This window comes from Homo sapiens, chromosome 9 (genome assembly GCF_000001405.40).
Source record: "Homo sapiens chromosome 9, GRCh38.p14 Primary Assembly".
Taxonomy (NCBI): domain Eukaryota; kingdom Metazoa; phylum Chordata; class Mammalia; order Primates; family Hominidae; genus Homo; species Homo sapiens.
In genome coordinates this window covers 88,525,910-88,546,130 of record NC_000009.12, presented here as the reverse complement: position 1 = coordinate 88,546,130, position 20,221 = coordinate 88,525,910, and the positions used below count along the sequence as shown (strand labels likewise).

At 50.9% G+C, this 20,221-nt stretch overlaps 1 protein-coding gene and 1 long non-coding RNA gene across 5 annotated transcripts in view, besides 2 other annotated features; one reads left to right on the top strand and one right to left on the bottom strand.

Moving 5' to 3' along the window:
- The window catches only part of NXNL2 (nucleoredoxin like 2), a 49,333-nt gene extending 38,380 nt beyond the window's left edge, over positions 1 to 10,953 (bottom strand). For 3 of the 4 annotated variants that reach the window (XM_011518276.3, XM_005251727.4, NM_145283.3), the window contains exon 1: positions 10,395 to 10,953. In XM_011518276.3, the coding sequence (XP_011516578.1) occupies positions 10,395 to 10,696 (302 nt within the window). In that variant the 5' untranslated portion in view covers positions 10,697 to 10,953. Of the gene's footprint in view, positions 1 to 1,157; positions 1,753 to 10,394 lie in introns of those variants that run through there. The other variant, NM_001161625.2, reaches the window with a different exon arrangement.
- Positions 9,499 to 10,332: an enhancer, noted in NCBI's record as "H3K27ac-H3K4me1 hESC enhancer chr9:91150714-91151547 (GRCh37/hg19 assembly coordinates)". NCBI's record gives its function as "activates a minimal SCP1, AML or CMV promoter by ChIP-STARR-seq in primed H9 embryonic stem cells {active_cell/tissue: H9 hESC(primed)}" and the evidence as "EXISTENCE:reporter gene assay evidence [ECO:0000049][PMID:30033119]".
- Positions 10,333 to 11,167: an enhancer, noted in NCBI's record as "H3K27ac-H3K4me1 hESC enhancer chr9:91149879-91150713 (GRCh37/hg19 assembly coordinates)". NCBI's record gives its function as "activates a minimal SCP1, AML or CMV promoter by ChIP-STARR-seq in primed H9 embryonic stem cells {active_cell/tissue: H9 hESC(primed)}" and the evidence as "EXISTENCE:reporter gene assay evidence [ECO:0000049][PMID:30033119]".
- On the top strand, positions 11,591 to 18,171 carry LOC105376134 (uncharacterized). Its single transcript, XR_007061653.1, has 2 exons — positions 11,591 to 12,117; positions 17,367 to 18,171. It is a non-coding gene; the product is annotated as an uncharacterized LOC105376134 (long non-coding RNA).
- Positions 18,172 to 20,221: the final 2,050 nt, after the last annotated feature.

Sequence of the window (20,221 nt, the reverse complement as noted above, 5' to 3'; positions counted from 1 at the left end):
TACTCTACATGCAAGAGATGTCCACCCAGTTCCCAAGAATGTGTGATTAAAAATATCATAATTAGGCCGGGCACGGTGGCTCATGCCTGTAATCCCAGCACTTTGGGAGGCCGAGGCGGGTGGATCACCTGAGGTAAGGAGTTCGAGACCAGCCTGACCAATATGATGAAACCCTGTCTCTACTAAAAATACAAAAATTCGCTGGGCGTGGTGGCGGGCGCCTGTAATCCCAGCTACTCGGGAGGCTGAGACAAGAGAATCACTTGAACCCAGGAGGCGGAGGTTGCAGTGAGCTGAGACCGCGCCATTGCACTCCAGGCTGGGCAACAAGAGTGAAACTCCATCTCAAAAAAAAAGAAAAGAAAAAGCCATAATTAAATAAATATTTCATCTCTGAGTTTTGGAAGAAAACTGCATTTCTACATGACTTATTTGGGGCACGAATAACAATGAGGTTAGTGTAAATGCATCCTTAGTCAACCCACAGGGCCCCCAGGAGGCTGGGTCTCAGTGGTCAGGGAAGTTAACTGACAGCGCAGAGGGTGAGGGAGATTGAAGGGACTAATTAATTAACAGCTTATGTCTCAGTGGCACAGGTTCACTGAGTATCACCCACTGGGCTTCCTTACTCTACTATTGCTGGTCCTACTGGTGTCAGCTTTGCTCCAAATTCTCAGCTGAGGAACCCAGCAAGCTGACCAGATCTGCAGGTGAGGACTTGGCTAGAGATGGGTATCGGTATTTTCACAATCCCAGCTGATTGGATAAGAATGAGGCTGGAAAGAAACAGGAAAGACCGCCAGCAAGAGGCCACAGGGGAAGCTGGGACAGTAATCTGAACCACTGACGGCTTTCACCACCATTAATAAAGATTGTTTACTTCGATGGATTATTAACTTTTAGGTAACACTGAGGTTTGATCTTGAAGATGTGAAAACACACCCTTGAAAATTTCATTGCTTTCTAGGATATTGTAATACTGTTACAAATAAGTGTAAAGAAAACAAAGAGAAGAAGAAAATTCCAAGATGACATATAATTAAAAACTAGCACCTGTGACAAATAAGACATATTTAAGCATGGTATTTGTCAAGAGACTCCTTTTCTTCCTACTGGCACCTGGAATGGAATGAGAAAGAAGGCAATAGACTTGTTTATTAAAGTACACAGCTTGCAAACTTTATTAAGATAGTTGTGAAAGCATACCATTAAAATAAACAGATCGCCAGAAAATGTTATCAATAAATATATTATTTTACCTGAAGAGACTTGTACAAATAAATGTCTTGCATAGATTTCCAACAGCTCAGTATGAACATATGAGGATCCTTCCTTAAGCACAGGTGGATAAAGGTATGCAAAGAATAACAAAAATAACTATAATACAAACAGCCTGCATGATCAAAATATGGAGTGTATTATTTCCTGAGCAATAGTTGCTTTTTGACCACAGCTTAGTGCTTCTGCTCTGAAATACAATGAAATCACACCAACAGAGGAAGGAACCCAACATGCTCCTCTTTGCCCCAGCGTCGGTGCTGGAGAAGCAGCACCTGTCCTGGCCCTCTGAGGTCCCTCCCACTTCAAACGGAGAAATTCTGGAAGATATCGGCCGCCTCCACCCAGTCCTGGAAGCAGGCCAACCCCCGTTCCCGGATCTGCTTCCGCCCTTTGTTGGTGATGACCTCCCCATTTTGTTTCACAATCACAAGCTTGGGGATGGCTGTGACGTTGTACCTCTTCCTCAGCTCACTGCAGGACAGAAGAGTGGTACCGAAGTTAGCACTCCCACATGCACATCTGAAGGGACACGCCCCCTCCCTCCAGCCTGAGGTACAGCCAACTTGGAGGAAGCCACCAGGTGCCCCACCCAGCCTGCTCCTGCTCTCCCTCCTGCTGGGGTGGGGGCTCCTTTCTTCTTGGTGCTACTATTTCTTTTTCTTTTTCTTTTTCTTTTTTGAGATGGAGTTTTGTTCTTGTCGCCCAGGCTAGAGTGCAATGGCGCGATCTCGGCTCACTGCAACCTCCACCTCCCACGTTCAAGCGATTCTCCTGCCTCAGCCTCCCAAGTAGCTGGGATTACAGGTATGTGCCACCACATCCAGCTAATTTTTTGTATTTTTAGTAGAGATGGGGTTTCACCATGTTGGCCAGACTGGCCTCGACCTCCGGGCCTCAAGTGATCTGCCCGCCTTGGCCTCCCAAAATGCTGGGATTACAGGCGTTAGCCACCACGCCCAGCCTTGGTGCTACCATTTCTAACCCAATTCCACACCAGAGAGCTGCCTGCAGCAGTGAACTCTCCGTATCTGTGCTACCCAATCCAGTAGCCACCAGCCACGTATGGCTGGGAGAGCTCAGAATGTGGCTAGTGTGCCTAAGGAACTGAAGTTTTCATTTTAATTAACTTTTAATTTAAATTTAAGTTGTCACAAGTGGCTAGTGGCTACCAGATTGGATAGTGCAGGTCTAAACCCACAAATAAACCCAGTAATTTTTTATGTCCTCTACATCTCAAGGGGTTGAAAAATATCAGGTACATATAATGGTAAAAGTTAAAATTCCAGCCAGGTGTGGTTGCTGACACCTGTAATCCCAGCACTTCAGGAGACTGAGGTGGGAAGATGGCTTAAGTCCAAGAGTTCAAGACCAGCCTGGGCAACATAGTGAGACCTTGTCTCTACAAAAGTTAAAAAATTAGCTAGGCGTGGTAGCATGCACCTATAGTCCCAGCTACTCGACAGGCTGAGGTGGGAGGATCGCTTGAGCCCAGGAGGTCGAGGCTGCAGTGAGCCGTGTTAGTGCCTCTACATTCCAGCCTGGGCGGCAGACCCCATTTCTAAGGAAAAAAAAAAAAAAAGTTAAAATTCCATGAGTTCTAAATACATCTAGAGCTTCACTTGACTTTCCACCCTACAAATTCAGTGATGCACCAATTGCCATTATCATGATGAGAGGTTTCTTAGCCTCATTTTACATCATTTACATTTACAGTATCTATAACCTGATGAGTGGTCTTTTTACAAAATTATTTGTATTCATTTAGGGAAACGAGCATCTGCCTTCTTGGTTTTGCAGTTCTCGTAATCTTCACTGGGATTACTCCCTCAAGACAGGGCAGCCGGGTGAAATCCCTTTCCTGTTTACCATGGCCAGGTCACCAGGGCCTCACAGTGACAGTAATCGGATTTCCTTGATCTGTCACCCTCAGGATTGTGAACCCGAGTGGAAGGAAAAACCCATTTGAGACCCTCCTATTAGCAAATCTCCCCTTTGACACGTCCCTCAAGTTCTTCCTGCCACTTTCTGGCATCCAGGTCAAAGACACACCATCACTCAAGCAGGAAAAAATACAGGGTCCCCTACGCTCAACAGAGAGAGAATATGGTTTATTTCCAAACATCTATGAAGCAGTGACAAAATCAATCATGTTCTCAAGTCACAAAGGAAGTATTAATGAATTTCAAGTGGTCAATAACATATAGATCACTTAATCAGACCAATGGTAATGGAATTGGAAACCAATAAGAAACCATTTTTGGGGCCGGGTGCGGGTGGCACATGCCTGTAATCCCAGCACTTTGGGAGGCTGAGGTGGGCAGATCATGAAGTCAGGAGTTTGAGACCAGCCTGGCCAGCACGGTGAAACCCTGTCTCTGCTAAAAATACAAAAAATTAGCCGGGCATGGTGGCACGCATTTGTGGTCCCAGCTACTTGGGAGGCTGAGGCCAGAGAATTGCTTGAATCCAGCAGGCGGAAGTTGCAGTGAGCCGAGATCGCGCCACTGCACTCCAGCCTGGGTGACAGAGTGAGACTCTGTCTCAAAAAATAAAAATAAAAAAATATATATTTTTTTGTTCGTTCGTTTGTTTTTTGTTTTTTGTTTTTTTGTTTTTTGAGATGGAGTCTTGCTCTGTCGCCCAGGCTGGAGTGCAGTGACGCAATCTCGGCTTACTGCAAGCTCCGCCTCCTGGGTTCATGCCATTCTCCTGCCTCAGCCTCCCGAGTAGCTGGGACTACAGGCGCCCACCACCATGCCTGGCTAATTTTTTTGTATTTTTTTAGTAGAGACGGGGTTTCACCATGTTAGCCAGGATGGTCTCGATCTCCTGACCTCGTGATCCGCCTACCTCGGCCTCCCAAAGTGCTGGGATTACAGGCATGAGCCACTGTGCTCAGCCAAAAAGAAATCATTTTTAAGAATGAGTTTTAAAACTAACTGTATGTTATATGGGAAATAGTAACGCAGATGACAAAGTATTTAAAACAAAACAATATGGAATATACTACAAATCCCAAGCTGTAAACACAATTAAACACACTTAGGAAGCTGTAGCCTTAAAAACGCTTATCCAAAACTTTAGTATATAGATGACTTATGGATCTAATTCAAGAAGCTAGAAAAATAAGGATGGCACAAACACAAAGAAAGTAGAAAGAAGGCAGAATAAGATTGAGAACAAAAATTACTGACATAGGAAATGAACCAACAAAAACCAACATGGGGTGACCAATAAAACCCAACCTGGTTCTCAGGAAACACTAAAATGTGAAACAAATCTCTACCGAGCCTGGGCACAGTGGCTCACGCCTGTAATCCCAGCACTTTGGGAGGTCAAGGTGAGAGGATCACTTGAGCCCAAGAGTTCAAGACATCCCTGGGTGACATGACAAGACCCTGTCTCCACAAAATAAAAAAAAATTAACCAGGTGTGGTTGCACGCACCTGTAGTCCCAGCTACTTGGGAGGCTGAGGCAGGAGGATTGCTTGAACCCAGGAGTTTGAGGTTGCAGGGAGCTGTGATCACACCACTGCACTCCAGCCTGGATGACGGTGCAAGACCCTAGCTCTAAAAAAAATGTCTACTGAGATTGAGCAAGGAAAAAGAGAGAATGCAGAAGAATATCAAAAATCAGGCCAGCCTGGTCATTACACAGGCCCAGTGTGGACTGAACCTCCTTGAGGGGACACTGGTGGGTGACATGACAAGACCCTATCTCCACAAAATAAAAAAAAATAACCAGGTGTGGCTGTGCACACCTGTAGGCTCAGCTACTTGGGAGGCTGAGGCATGAGGATCGCTTGAACCCAGGAGTTCAAGGTTGCAGGGAGCTGTGACCACACCACTGCACTCCAGCCTGGATGATGGTGCAAGACCCTAGCTCCAAAAAAAAAAAAAAAAAAAAAAAAAAATCTACTGAGATTGAGCAAGGAAAAAGAGAGAAGGCACAAGAATATCAAAAATGAGGCCAACCTGGTCATTACACAGGCCCAGTGTGGACTGAACCTCCTTGAGGGGACACTGTTGGGAGGGCTGTGGCCTTTCTGGGGCTGCATGACCCCTGCCAGGACAGGCCTATTCCCCAAAGAACCAATGGACACAGCCCCCACCCCGGCAGTCCGGACCTGCTCCCTGTGGTGTCCAATGACTCACCTGGGGAGGGAAAGGAAAAGTGGGAAAAAATAAAAATGTAAACTATTCTCTAAAACCTATCATGCACAGTGAAAAAAAGACACAGCAGAGACCACTCAGCCAAAACTGTATTTGCAGAACTGAGAAAGTCATGTCTCAAACACAGAGCAGATGTGAATTCATGTCAAACTGCAGGTTTAGGGGACACCAACTCCTTCACGAACAGCCATGAGTGCTCACAACAGGGGAGGCGCGTGTGGAACTCGGCCAGATGGAGCCTGGACAGGTCAATGAACCACAGCAGTCAGCATGAAAGATGTGGCAGAGATGTCCCTCTCTAGCATCTTAAGAATCCTGCACAACACCTATTTTTTTTTTTTTTTTAAGATGGAGTCTCGCTCTTTCGCCCAGACTGGAGTGCAGTGGTACAATCTCGGCTCACTGCAACCTCCGCCTCCCAGGTTCACGCCATTCTCCTGCCTCAGCCTCCAGAGTAGCGGGGACCACAGGCGCCCGCCACCATGCCTGGCTAATTTTTTGTATTTTTAGTAGAGACAGGGTTTCACCGTGTTAGCCAGGATGGTTTCGATCTCCTGACTTTGTGATCCACCCGCCTCGGCCTCCCAAAGTGCTGGGATTACAGGCGTGAGCCACCACGCCCGGCCGCACAACACCTAAAATTTAAAATGCCTAAGCAATTAGCTTTCCCCAAAGGCATAAAACAAAAATGTGTGGCCAGGTGCGGTGGCTCACGCCTGTAATCCTAGCAATTTGGGAGGCCAAGATGGGTGCATCACCTGAGGTCAGGAGTTCGAGACCTGTTCACATGGCGAAACCCTGTGTCTACTAAAAATACGAAAATTAGCCGGGTGTGGTGGTGGGTGTCTGTAATCCCAGCTACTTGGGAGGCTGAGGCAGGAGAATCACTTGAACCCAGGAGGCAGAGGTTGCAGTGAGCTGAGCCTGCGCCATTGCACTCTAGCCTGGGCAACAAGAGCGAAACTCCATCTCAGAAAATAAAAAAGAAAGAAAGAAAAAGGTGAAGAAACGAGAAACAACCAAGTAACTCTTTGCATAAAGACTGCAGCAAAATGGCCAGCAGCCTGATTTAAGCTCTTTATCCAGCAGTTTTGGCAAATGGGTTATTTTAGCATCTGTACTTTGGGCAGTGGGACAGGGCAGGGCTCGCACACGTCACTTCCAGAAAGGAAAGTAGACGGTCCGGCTGGGGCCAGACCAGGTGGGACTCTGTTATCTCAGGAACCTGGAACCTCTTCCCCAAGGCCATGAGGACTCCTTGGAGGGCTGCTGGTGGGTCGTGAAGGGGTTGGGATGCCAGCAGCAGCAGCAGCAGTATCTCACCTACAGATTCCTGAGCACCCCCAGGTCCGACAGCATCTGCACTCCTGACAGATTCCCAACTGACATGGGTCCATGCACCAGCCTTTGACCAGCACTGTCAGGAACAATATGGGGTCCCAGGAGCAGCAACACCAACATCACCTGGAAACTCATCAGAAATGCAATCTCCCCACCTCTGACGCTGGGGCAGTGCCCAAGATCTGGTGGTTTATGCTTGCTCAAGTTGGCCAATCCCACAGCAGTCTTCCAGGGCTTTCTGCATCCCCTGCACCAACTGGGAGGAGGTAGGAGACAGCAAGCGGAGAGGAGGCTGGGCATGGTGCCCCTGACAGCACGGGGAGTACAGGCCTGTGGTTTGCTGCTCAGCATCTGTGACCCTCCTTGGGAAACCATGTCTCCTTCATTTTCTGGCATGAACTAGCTGTGTGTCATGGGCAGGCTAGTTAACCTCCTGCACCTCGGATTCCTCATCTACACCACGGGAATAACAGAATCCACCTCCTGGAGTTGTTGTGAGGATTAAATAAACAGCTTAATGAAGAATGAGGCTTGGCACATAATAAGTACTTGATAAATGCTAGCTGTTCTTACTGTGTGGGAAAGACCCACCTCCAATTCCACCTGGGCCAACTGCTCAGTCAGCATATCTATCTGGTGGCCCCTGGCTACACTTAATAGTACAGAAATGGGGAACTAGCCAAATCAGAATCAATGAGGCGTGGTGCAGCACCTGGCTGTGTGCTGGGAAAGAGGAAAGTACAGGAATGCGCAGTCTGAGACACAGCAGCCATTCTGCCACCGTGAGGAGACACAGGATTTGCCAGGCAGCAACTGCCTGCAGCCTGAGCAAGGGGCAGACGTGGCAGAAGGCGAGCCACAAAGCTGCATCCTCCGTGGCCTCCAGCTTGCCCTTGACACCATCTTCTGGCTGATGGGTGTCTCATTAAAGCCAGCCCATAACCTTTACTGTTCAAGCTCTTTGAGTTGTTCTCATTGCTGCTGTTTTAATCACTTGCAACATTAAATCAAGCTCTAACACAGTCAGGGGGATGCAGAGCAGGCTGGGCTTTGAGGAATCAGGAGGGTGGAGGTGGTCATTTCACTGATATTCCAAGAGACACTCAGTACCAGCCCTCAAATCCCCATGCTGGCAGCCTCTGCCTGGGGACAAATGTAACCTTGGAGCTGCACATGAGAGGCAAAGAACCTCACTTTTTCCCTAATGTCATCTCAATCCCCTCTGGGCCCTGAGCTGTGTCCACAGAGAAAAGAACTTGCTTTTGGAGGAGAGAATGTTGTCATGGTAATAACTTAGGACTTTAAGCATTTGGGGAAAATCCAAGAGCCCAGTTCCTCCTTGTCCTCAGCACTGTTGCAACCAGCGTTGGTCCCTGCCTTCAACTAACACAGCCACATCCTTGTTGCTGGCATAAACCACACTTCTGGGTTGCCATGGCAACTCCTGACTCTAGTCTGTCATCTCAGCCAGGAGCAGGCTGTGGCCAAGCAAATCTCTCTGCAGAACTGTCTTTTGCTCACTTGCTTCAACTACTCACCAAACACACTCCCTGGGGATGCCAGGCACTGAACCATGTCTGGCTCTGTCCTGTGGGCAATGGAAACTCAGGAAACCCCCGGAGAGTTGGAGCAAGGCATGGCTAAACCGGATTGGTCTTTGAACCAAGAGCCAATCAGATGGGAACACCAAGGTCCTGTAGACGTAGGATAAGCAGAATTTAGGGCGTAGCTCCAACAATTCCCACAGAATATCCCACTACCTAGCTTACACATGACAACAACAGAGTTAAGGAAGTTCAGTGTGGAAAGGGGTAGGGACAAACAGCTAAGTTTACAAAAAGAAAAATCCCTCCCAGGCCAGCCAGGCTGAGAAGATAGGAGCACACAGCTGACCCACGTCACGCAGCTCACTGCCTCCAGCTGGAGCTCACAGGCTTGACCAGAGCATCAGAAACAGACGAGCAGTCTCCATGGCCCCAAGCGATGACCTCCCCAGTCCAATCTGTGTGCCGCTGGGGACCAAGACTCACCACCCCCTCAGTGAGGAAGTAGGGCACGGCAGAAAGAGGGTCCTCAGAGCCAGGAGAACTGAACTCTATGCCTCAATGGCACATCTGTAAAATGGGGCAATAGACTAGAGAGCTGGGACATAACCAGCGGACACATGAGCTCATATGTGATCAGCTCAACCCTGACAACAACCACGTGATGTATCATATGCTCAGCAATAAAATACCTTGCCTGCCATCACCTGGCAAGTAAATCCCAGAGCTGGGCCAGAGCTTTGTGCCTAATTACTATAATGATACTGCCATCGTCTCTCGCTTTCAAACCTGCGTTCTTTCAAAAGCTTACAAATAACTTGAGTACTAAACAAGTCCAATCCTGTTTTTAAAAGCACCACTTGAACTGATTCTGTAAGAAATCCTTTTGCAAAGTGAACCACCCATCTTGGAGATTCATTATCAATAGAACTTTCAGAGTCCCGGTGTGAGTGAGGCTCCCAGAAGCAGGTTACCCCCCTGGAAGGCTGGGCGGTGCCCTGCCTGGGCCTCCTCTTTCACTGGGAATCACCAAAAATCATGTTTGGGGGAATAATTAGATTTCTTCCCATTAATTACTCATCTACAAAACTTTCCAAAGTTAGCTTCCAGTTTTCATTTTCCAGAAGGAATGTCATCTCATGATAATCAGTTTAGGGGGTAATGCCACAACTTAATGATAATCTCCAGAAATGTGAGGCTGTAAAGCAAAACCCAGAAATTCACATTGGTACCTAGAAGGGGGTGGCCAGGACAACATACTTGACGAGGCCTGCTTTAAACCTAAGTCTGGACTCTTACACCATAGGAGACCACAGGAGACCCACCCCAAAAGCAGAACAATCAATCCCTGTAATCCCCTCTCTGCCAATCCCTACCCCCTCCTTTGCAACAGTTAGAGTAATAAAGTTTATAGTAATGAGTTTTATGCTTCTCTAGTGATGAAATTCCATCAGTGTCGGTAAAAATGAAACCGCAAAGGTGGCCAGCACCTGGGTTCCTGCCAGCCTTGAAGCCCCCGTCCCTCCCTCCCAGCAAACCAACCACGGCCTGCACTGTGGGTGCCTGTCACAGAGCTGATGTCCTCGCGGGTCATCCCTCATCCCCGCATCCAGACACCGGGTCATGTCCCTGTGCTTCCTGCCCACTAACTGGGAGGATGACGCAGCGGCGCCGGGAGTCCAGGGCTGATTGGGCCGGCGGTTCCCGGAGCCGAGCCCGCGAACTCACAGCATCACCACCACTGGGAGCTCCTTCGCAATGCAGATTCCCGGAGCTCCAGACCCCAGGCAGAAACGCGCCCGCGTCCATGCTCCACGAGCCCCCTTGGGGTGCCGATGCCCTGGGTTTTCGAATCTGGTCTGCACCCTCCCTGGTCTCCAAGAGAGGTTGAAACTGAGACTGAGTGTGATTTACCGGAGTCCGGACGTGAACCGAGAGACGGGGAGGTGTTGGGGGGGGGCGTCATAAAGAGCTCCCCAGTGCAGAGGGGGAGGCCTGGGGGAACATGGGGGAGACGTGCCGGGCGGCCCCCGCCCCCCCAGGACCCCCACTCACTGCCGGTAGGGGTCGTGGAAGGGCAGCGCCAGCCAGGCGCCATGCAGCTCGCGCATGAAGTCCAGCATCTCCTGGGAGCTGCCGTCGGCTGACACGAAGACCACTTCGAAGGGCGCGGGCCGCCGCGCCTCGGCCACCAGCGCCGTATAGAAGTCGCAGAGCAGCGGCGTGAAGTCGCGGCTCGGCGCGCACCGGGCCGCCGCGAAGTACAGTGCCACCACCTTGTTCTGCAGCGCCGCCTCGGCCTCCACCGTCGCGCCCTTACAGGTCACCAGGTGCCGCTCGCCCAGAATGTCAACCATGGCGCAGACACGCAGCCACCTGAGACCCGAGGACACCTGCAGGAGGATGATCACCTGCGGGGAGGCGGCGGCGAGCGCCGCGGTGCCCCGCCTCTGTCCGCACCACCGGGCGCTGGACCTCTCAAGACCTGCCCCAGATGCGCCCACACCTTGGCCAGGCCTCGCCTGTGGCTGGAGCAATTGTGTTCGCGCCGACAATGAGACACTCAGACACCAGAGACCCCAGATACCTGGGCGACAGCGCGGCACCCGCCTCTGGGAGCGGGGCCAGCCAGGCAACCTCAAGCCCTCAGGTCTCTGCACCCTCCCCCAACTGCGCCCCGCCCACACTCCTGCGCCCTCCCACCACTGCGCCCCGCCCACATTCCCCGCAAGCTCCCCAACTGCGCCCCGCCCACATTCCGCACTCTCCACCCACTGCGCCCCGCCCACATCCCGCACTCTCCACCCACTGCGCCCCGCCCACATCCCCGCCCCCGCCCCCACTGCGCCTCGCCCGCATCCCCACACTGTCCCCCACTGCGCTGGGCCCACATCCCTACACTCTCCACCCACTGCGCCCCGCCCACATCTCCGCACCCTCCCCCACCGCACCCCGCCCACATCCCCGCACTCTCCTCCAACTGCGCCTCGCCCACATTCCACAGTTTCCCCTCACTGCGCCCCGCCCACATCCCCGCACTCTTCTCCAACTGCGCCTCGCCCACATTCCACAGTTTCCCCTCACTGCGCCCCGCGCACACTCCCGCTCCCTCCCCCACTGCGCCCCGCCCACACTCCCGCGCCCTCCCCCTCACTGCGGCCCGCCGACATCCCGCGCCCCCGCCCCCATCCCGACTGCGCCCCGCCCACCTCCCGCGCCCTCTCCCACTGGTTGTCCAGCCCACATCCTGCACTCCCTCCACTGCGCCCCGCTCACACTCCCGCACCCTCCCCACACTGCGCCCTGCCCACACTCCTGCACTCTCTCCCCACTACGCCCCCTACCACATCCCGCGCCCCCGCCCCCATCCCCACTGCGCCCCGCCCACACTCCCGCGCCCTCGCGCCCCTGGGCTCTCCCGTCGTGGGCACTCTCCCCAGCGCTTCTACACTTTCTCCCGACGCAGCGCCCTGCCCTCCGTCCCGCCCCACCTATTGCCTCCTGCGCTTCCCCCACACCGTGCTCTTCCTCCTCCTTCACTTCCTCCCACTCCTCGCGCTCCCCTTCAGCGCCCCACGCAGCCCCTCCCCCAAAACCCCGCGTCGCTCTCCTTCCCTCCTGGCCTCTCTTCCAGTCTCGCGCTCCCTGCCGGGCCCCGCCGCAGGTGTCCCGCAGCCGTCTCCCCAGGGCATTTGAATCTTGCCTTGGAGCTCTTGCCGCGCGGCCCAGCACCCTGGAAGAGGCATCAGGGAGGATGGGACGACGAGGAAGGGGAAGGGTAATTGGGCTTGGAGCGGGCTTGGGCGGGGTGGTAGGGAACCTGAGCTCCGTTGGTTCAGGGTGTTTGCCCCTGACATCCTGTGGCCTGGCTGGGAGGGTTCGTGAAGTTCAGGAAGAAATTGGGAGCAGTCCTTACAGAATGTTTTATTTGAAGAACCAAGAGTATTAATTTTTTGGCGAGCACTGTTGTAGGCCCTGGGAATTCAGCAGTGAGAAAAATAATTTCAACTCCCTGCCAGACCCGGGCTAGAAGGAGGCAAGCGAGCGAGGCACTCGCATAGGGGCAAAATTTAAGGGCGCGACAAAAAAACTCAGTAGTCAAGGTAAATAATGTTTTAATACAATATCTTAAAAAGTCAAAATGAATGCAAAAAAAGTTTATAATGAACAAAATATCAAAAACTTAAAGACAGTGAATGAAACCAAAATATGCCATCCTAAAATATGCCGCTTTGGTATATTGATTATTTTGAGCGAGAGGCACTTGAAAAATAGCAAATGCAGAGAGACGTTCTCCCCTTACCTGTCTAAAGACGGAACCTCCAAAAGAAACTGATTGTCGTAAATTCCCTCCCGGGAGGATGGACTCTTATCACAGCAGAAGTCCACACCACACCTAGACAAACTTTGTCACAAACTCATAAAGACTTATGCATCTTTCCTAAAAATCAGTTACTCTCCCCTAAGTGGCCTACACCAGCTTCCAGTTCCCCAATTTTAGAAGCTCTCAAAGCTCACTGGTTTGGGGGGTTTTCACCTAGTTTCCTGCAATGCCCCCATGCAGGTGATATTAAAGATTAATAAATGTGTATTCCCGTTCCCCCCGTTCATCTGCCCGTTGGCAGTTAATTTCATAGAGCCAGCTATGGAACTGGGGAGGACAGAGAGAAGGTCTTTGCTCTCCTAAGACAAGATGGATCCCCCACTGACTTTGGACTCCCGTCACGTTCACCGACCCCTGAGTCCTGCTCCTGTGCCTGCCTGGAGCTTATGTTCTAACGGGCACAAACAATAAATAAGGAAGATATTTTGCAGGTGCTATGCCAAAAGAAGAGCCATGAGGAGGGGCGCAGGTTTTTGTTTTGTTTTATTTTGGTTTGGTTTGGTTGGTTGGTTGAGATGGAGTCTCGCTCTTGTTGCCCAGGCTGGAGTGCAATGGCGTGATCTCGGCTCACTGCAACCTCCGCCTCCCGGGTTCAAGCAATTCTCCCGCCTCAGCCTCCTGAGTAGCTGGGATTACTGGCGCGTGCCACCACGCCCAGCTAATTTTTGTATTTTTAGTAGAGACGGGGTTTCATCATGTTAGCCAGGCTGGTCTCAAACTCCTGACTTCAGGTGATCTACCCACCTCTGCCTCCCAAAGTGCTGGAATTACAGGCTTGAGCCACCGAGGGGCGCAGTTTTAATCTAGCGGTGAGAGGAGTCAGGGAAGGTGAAATTTGCGCTTCCTGAGGACCCGCCTGCCGGCCCGGGCTCCCCCAGTCTCGCCGTTAAATGAACGGAAATTGGCGGACGCCGTTGCCTGCAGGCACAGCCCGTCGGCTCGGTTGCGTAAATGTACTTAGCAGCCAAAGCTCAGTGGAAACCCTGCGGGAGGATTGATTGGCGCTCTTAGGTGAAGCAGGCTGTCAAGAGCCCCGATTCACTGTCCTCTGGGGAAAATGGATAGACAAATCGGAGGAAAAAATTGAGAGGAACTGTGAGCAGTATAAATCTTGCATGAGGAGGCCCCTGACTTACGTTAAAACTCAGAGGTAAGAGGAATGAAATGCAGCTAAGCTCTCAAAATCATCCAGACTATTTTGTTTTGTCATCTTATCCTTGAACACACAATGAGCCAAAGTAGACAGCATTCCTAATTAGTTGACGGTGCCACCCTCCCGAGAAAATTAACGGTCATTCGCATTAATACTGCCTGCCCTGGGGAACTCACCCAACCTCCATCCAGGAATGGATCGCACTTCCTGCTGCCGATGTCGGGGGCAGGGCGGCTTCCTAGGCATGCAGACCCTCAGAGGCACAGGGCCCTGCACTCACTTGGGGCTCAGTGTTCTGCGGTTGCAGTCTTTGTTGTTTTGTTTTTTGTTTAGAAACTGAATCTCACTCTCTTACCCAGGCTGGAGTGCAGTAGTGGGATCATAGCTCACTGCAGCTTCCAACTCCTGGGCTCCAGGGATCCTCCCGCCTCAGCCTCCTGAGTAGCTAGGACTATAGCCACATGCCACTATGCAAGGCTAATTGTTTTTATTATTATTATTATTATTTTTTAGAGATGGGGTCTCCCTCTGTTGCCCAGCCTGGTGATTTTTTTTTTTTTTTTGGATGGAGTCTCGCTCTGTGGCCCAGGCTGGAGTGCAATGGCGTGATCTCAGCTCACTGCAACCTCCACCTCCCAGGTTCAAGTGATTCTTCTGCCTCAGCCTCCCGTGTAGCTGGGACTACAGGTGCACGCCACCACGCCTGGCTAATTTTTTTATTTTTAGTAGAGACGGGGTTTCACCATATTGACCAAGCTGGTCCCTAACTCCTGACCTCGTGATCCGCCCGCCTCAGCCTCCCAAAGTGCTGGGATTACAGGCGTGAGCCACCGCACCCAGCCAAAATTCTTAATTTATCTTTGAATTTGTGTGGTATATGAGAGGTCTTGGACAGTGGCACATATGTGAGTGTTTGGACCCTAGCTCATGTGTGCTCCCACCTGCCACTGCCTCCCTACCTCCCCAAGACAGGTTCTTCTTCTTATTATTATTATTTTGAGACTGAGTCCCACTCTGTCACCCAGGCTAGAGTGCAGTGCTGTGATCTCAGCTCACTGCAACCTCCGCTTCCTGGCTTCAAGCAATTCTCCCTGCCTCAGCGTCCCGAGTAGGTGGGATTACAGACACCTGCCACCACGCCCAACTAATTTTTGTATTTTTAGTAGACACGGTTTCACCATGTTGGCCAGGCTGGACTTGAACTCCTGACCTCAGGTAATCCGCCTGCCTTGGCCTCTCAAAGTGCTGGGATTACAAGAGTGAGCCACTGTGCCCAGCCCAAGATAGGTTCTTGACTGCTCAATCCTCTCCTCCTTTTGGTGTCCTGGGCCACACCTGGACTCCCCATCTCCACCTCCACCCAGGAACCGCTAGTGTCCTCTGTGGTCACTGGGGGCCCAGGTGGTGGGGGGAAGACTGACGTCCGATGCCTTTGCCCCACAAGGTCTCAGGGTAGGTACGGCATAGGAATAGCTGGTGGCCTGCAGGGCCCCCAGACAAGGGTGAAAGTTGACATTCACCCTGTGCCCAAGAAAGTATGACATTCAATGGCAAATAAAAGACCATGCTAGAAAGAGAAAAGCTTTTGCATATTAGTGCCTTTGCTGGCACTTTCCTTTCCTGCTTGTTGAACAAGGGGCACTGCATTTCCATTGCTGGGGAGAGCAGCCCACTCAGTGTTAATGGAAAAACCAAACTCTGTAAACTATTTGAAAGAGGTTTATTCTGAGCTAGTATGAGTGACAACAGCCCAGGGAAAGACATAAACTGAAAAAGCCTTGAGTCAGTGGTCTCAGGGCAGTTAGATCGCAACTCTGTTTTACACATTTCAGGGAAGCAGAAGTTATGAAAAAGTCATAAATCAATACATGAAGATTAGACATTGATTTGGCCCAGAAAGGCAGAATATGTTAAAGTGGGGGCTTCCTGGTCATAGGTCACTCCAGAGTCTTCAATTTGCAATTGGTTAAAAGAGTAAAACTTTGTCTAAAAATTTTGAATCAGCAGAAAGGAATGTTTTCAGTTAAGGAAGTCTGTTAACCAAACCACTGGGTCAGAGTGACCCATGGGGTGTGTGACTTAATCCTTGCCTGACATGGACTTAGGTCCTATTTATCATTTGCTACCTTATTGTCACAAAGAGTCTGTTTTGTTAGTCTTATGATCTGTATTTTAACATTTATGCTGGTCAGTTCTGCCTAAACTCCAAAAGGGAGGGCATGTAACAAGGCATGAGTCCAACCTCCCTTCCCATTGTGGCCAGGAATTTCGTTTTTAACTTTTTTCTGGGATCCTCTTGGCCAACAGGGGGTCTGTTCAATGAGTAGAGGGTTAGGATTTTATATTTAGTTTACATCAGGGACCTGGGTGAAGCGAGTAAGCCCTCCAGGGAGGTGTGATCATGGGGGAACAGAGTCAGCCACCCCCATCCCAGATTCTCCTTGGACTGCCTGCTCTGAGCGGCTGTGTGTAGACAGCAAGGAAGAGGGGTCTTCGTCAGATGCGTGCACCAGAGACTCCAGAACAGCTCAGCCTGGCTCACTCAGTAAAGGGCATTCTCAAGGGTCATTGCTGACTCTTCCGGGGCAGCCAGTCTTCAAATGGACTTTCCCAAACCCCTTCCTATTGCAGAAAGCTTGTGTCATTTGCCTCCAAATGCTGTCCCCCTGACCTCTCCCTGGGGAGGGAGTGGGCTGCAGGTGCCACAGGATGCAGCATGAAGCCCTGCATTCTCCCACCGCTGCTGGAGCCAAGTTCTCCTTCATGTTTCTCTCTGCACAACACACACAGGAACACTCACAAATGCAGTCCTGGAAACAGGATTAGGTGGCCCCTACTTTCCTAGCTGGGATATGCAAAGCCACTTTCATACCAAACTTCCTTCCAGGGCATCTAAAGGTGACATGAGTGTGGGCATCTGTAAGCAGCTTTACTTGCCTTGGACAACCACAGGGAAACTGGGCAGTGAGTCCCACTCCAGATGCTGGCCGGAGAGACCCCAGTGAAGGCACCCTCAGGCCTGCCCTCCCTCCCTGAGCCCCTCTCCCCTCCCCGCTGCCCCTGATTTAAGGGTAGTCCTTTCTGCATTTCCTCCCGAGAGCACGATAATAACTCACTGCTTGACCAACTTCAGACAGACTCCTCCGGCACTTTTTTCAGCTAGGCCTCATCCTTGGACCCCGTGCTCAGCCTGCCTGAGCCAGTCTTAGCAAAGAATCCTGTTAAGTCCTCTTCTGCCTTTAGTATCCAATCATCCTGGCCTGCCTGCAGCAGGTGTCCTGTTAAGTTAGTTTAGCAAGATACCCCCCTACCGTCAAGGTCCCCTCTGTTTTCCATCTGCCAACCCCCCACCTCCACCCTGTTCCTGGGCTGTAAATCCCCACTTGTCCTTGTGTTGGGAATTGTGCTCGGCGCTTTCCTTTTGCAGTAGTGCTCAACAGAGTCTGTCTTTTTGCCTTGGATAGTGTTCAGTTCTATTTCTCATTAACAGTTATGAAGGGCTGTGACACCTTGCTTGGCTTCTAGTCTTGACATAGACTAAAAGGCAGAAGGTTTCCAGAGCTCACGCTGGATGGCTGGGCAGATGAGGTCTTCAGAGACTCTCCAGGGAGGTACGGCTCTGCCTTTCTACTCAGTATGCAAGCTCCCCAGACTTCTGAAGAGGGATGTTTCTCCTTAGAGAAAGTCTCCCTGAATGTGGGTATTTCATAAGTTCTTGGACCAGTTCTGCTCTTCTCAGTCCTGCTTTTTGTCAACATACATTGAATCACTTCTCCCTGGCAAAAGAGCAGCATGTGAAGAAAATGTGATCCTTGGTGGTTTGACATGAAATTGACTTTTTCTTCTAGCAACACTTATGAATATTCAAATACAATTATGGAAAAGATTTTTTGCACTGATCAGCATAACAAACAAATTAGACATCCCAGTGTGCAAATATAACTTTCTGAATTTCCTAGTTTTAAATATTCCAGTGGCCAGGATACCCTATCCAGAGGAAGCAGGACCGTCTCAGCTGACCAGGGCCCTTGCCTGCTAATAGCATCATGCATACCTTGTTTCTTCATGAGGCTGCTTGCCCGAGTTCCAATCCACCAGGAATTCATCTTGTATCATAGCTGATGGATCCCGTGTCTCGTTTCTAAGTTGGAGCATCACTTTGCAGCTCCCAACCAGGGCCAGCCACAAAATTTGAAAGGCCCAGTGCAAAATAAAAATGCAGAGCCCCTTGTTCAAAAAGCAGGAAAAGAATGGGCCAGCAAAGGAACTAAAATAAACGAAAGCTTTTCCCTTTCTTCCATGGTCTCTCTTTTGACCTATCATGGTGTTTTTATTTGCTACTGAATATCATGCTTTCTTGGGACAGGGTGAGTGTCAACTGTCACACTTGCCCAGGGGCCCTGCCGAGTGACTTGGTGGGTACACAGTCCACCAGCTGCTTGCATGGCCACGCCCACCCTGAGATGCCACGGGTAGTGTAGTAAAAGCATCTGATGTCAACCCCACACCCCTCCACACATACACACTCAGGTTCCCGCAGACCATGGAGGGCACCAGCGGTTGCTGGGTGAGGGTGGGGATGGGGAGGCCATGTGGGGCCCAGGACACCAAAGGGAGGGAGACGAGCAGTCAATAATGTGCCTGGGAGAGGTGGCGGACCAGCAGCAGATGGGAGCACACATGAGGCAGGCTCCAAGTGCTCACGTATGCTCCACTGTCCAATGAGGCCTCACTTACACCACACAAATTCAAAGATAAAATAAAGTTTTTTTTGTTTTGTTTTGTTTTGTTTTGTTTTGGAGACAAGAGTCTCACTCTGTCACCCAGGCTAGAGTGCAGTGGCGCAATCTTGGCTCACTGCAACTTCCACCTTCCAGGTTCAAGTGATTCTCCTGCCTCAGCCTCCCAAACAGCTGGGGCTACAGGTGTCCACCACCACACCTGGCTAATTTTTTGTATTTTTAGTAGAGATGGGGTTTCTCCATGCTGGCCAGGCTGGTCTCAAACTCCTGACCTCAAGTGATCCGCCCCCCTCGGCCTCCTAAAGTGCTGGGATTAGAGGCATGAGCCACCGTGCCCAGCCTGATAAAATAATTAAGAATGTCAAGACAGCAATCACAGAGCACTAAACCCCAAGTGCAGGGCCCTGTGCCTCTGAGGGGCTGCATGGCCACGAAGCCACCCTGCTCCAGCATTGGCAGCAGGAAATACAATCCATTCCTGGATGGAGGTTGGGTTAGTTCCTCAGGGCTGCTGTAACAAAGACAACCTGGGTGGCTCCAAACAACAGAAATGGGCTATCTCATAGTTCCAGAGGCCAGAAGTCTGACATCAGCGTGGTGCAGGGCCGTGCTCCCTCTGAAACCTTAGGAAGTCCTTGCTTGCCTCTTCCTGGCTTCTGGTGGCTGCAGCAATCTTTGGAGTTCCTTGGCTTGTGGCTGTGTCACTCCAATCCTAGGTCTTCACCGGTCTCCTTTTTATAAGAACACAGTCACATTGGGTCAGCGGCCCACCCTGCTCCAATGTGACCTAACTTTAACTATTACATCTGCAAGGATCCTGTTTCCAAATAAGGTCACATTTTGAGGTCCTGAGAGTTAGGACTTCAGAATGGCTCATCTTTGTGGGGGATGCACAACCCATAATAGAGGTGTGGAGGAAGGAGAGTTTCTTCAAGGGGCAGGACTGGGAAAGACTTTGTAAGGAGGCTGGTCCTTGAAAGAGGTGGCAGGAGCGGGGCCACAGCAGGTTGGGAGAGGGAAGAGTGAGCTTCTCAGTTGGGCCACCATGAGGGTGGCTGTCACTGGGTGCAGACAGCCGACCCCACTGTCAAGTTCTAGGGCTGGGCACACTGTTGCCCAGGAAGCAGGAGCTGGTCAAACCCCTATGGGGGTTTCCTAGGAGATAAACCCCACGGCCCAGGTAGGGCACGACAGAACAGACTGTATGGGGACAAGAGGTTCAATTGGCAGGACTCTTGGTAACACAAGGAAGGGTGGAAATGCAGAGGGAACAAGCCATGACTGTCTGCTCTGCAAACATAACTTGTCACATTAAAATCACCCACTCTCTGCCTGGGCGCGGTGGCTCATGCCTATAATCCCAGCACTTTGGGAGGCCAAGGCAGGTGGATCACAAGGTCAGGAGATTGAGACCATCCTGGCCAACATGGTGAAACCTCGTCTCTACTAAAAATACAAAAATTAGCTGGGCATGGTGGTGTGCACCTGCAATCCCAGCTACTTGGGAGGCTGAGGCAGAAGAATCGCTTGAACCCGGGAGGCAGAGGTTGCAGTGAGCCAAGATTGCACTACTGCATTCTAGCCTGGTGACAGAGCAAGACTC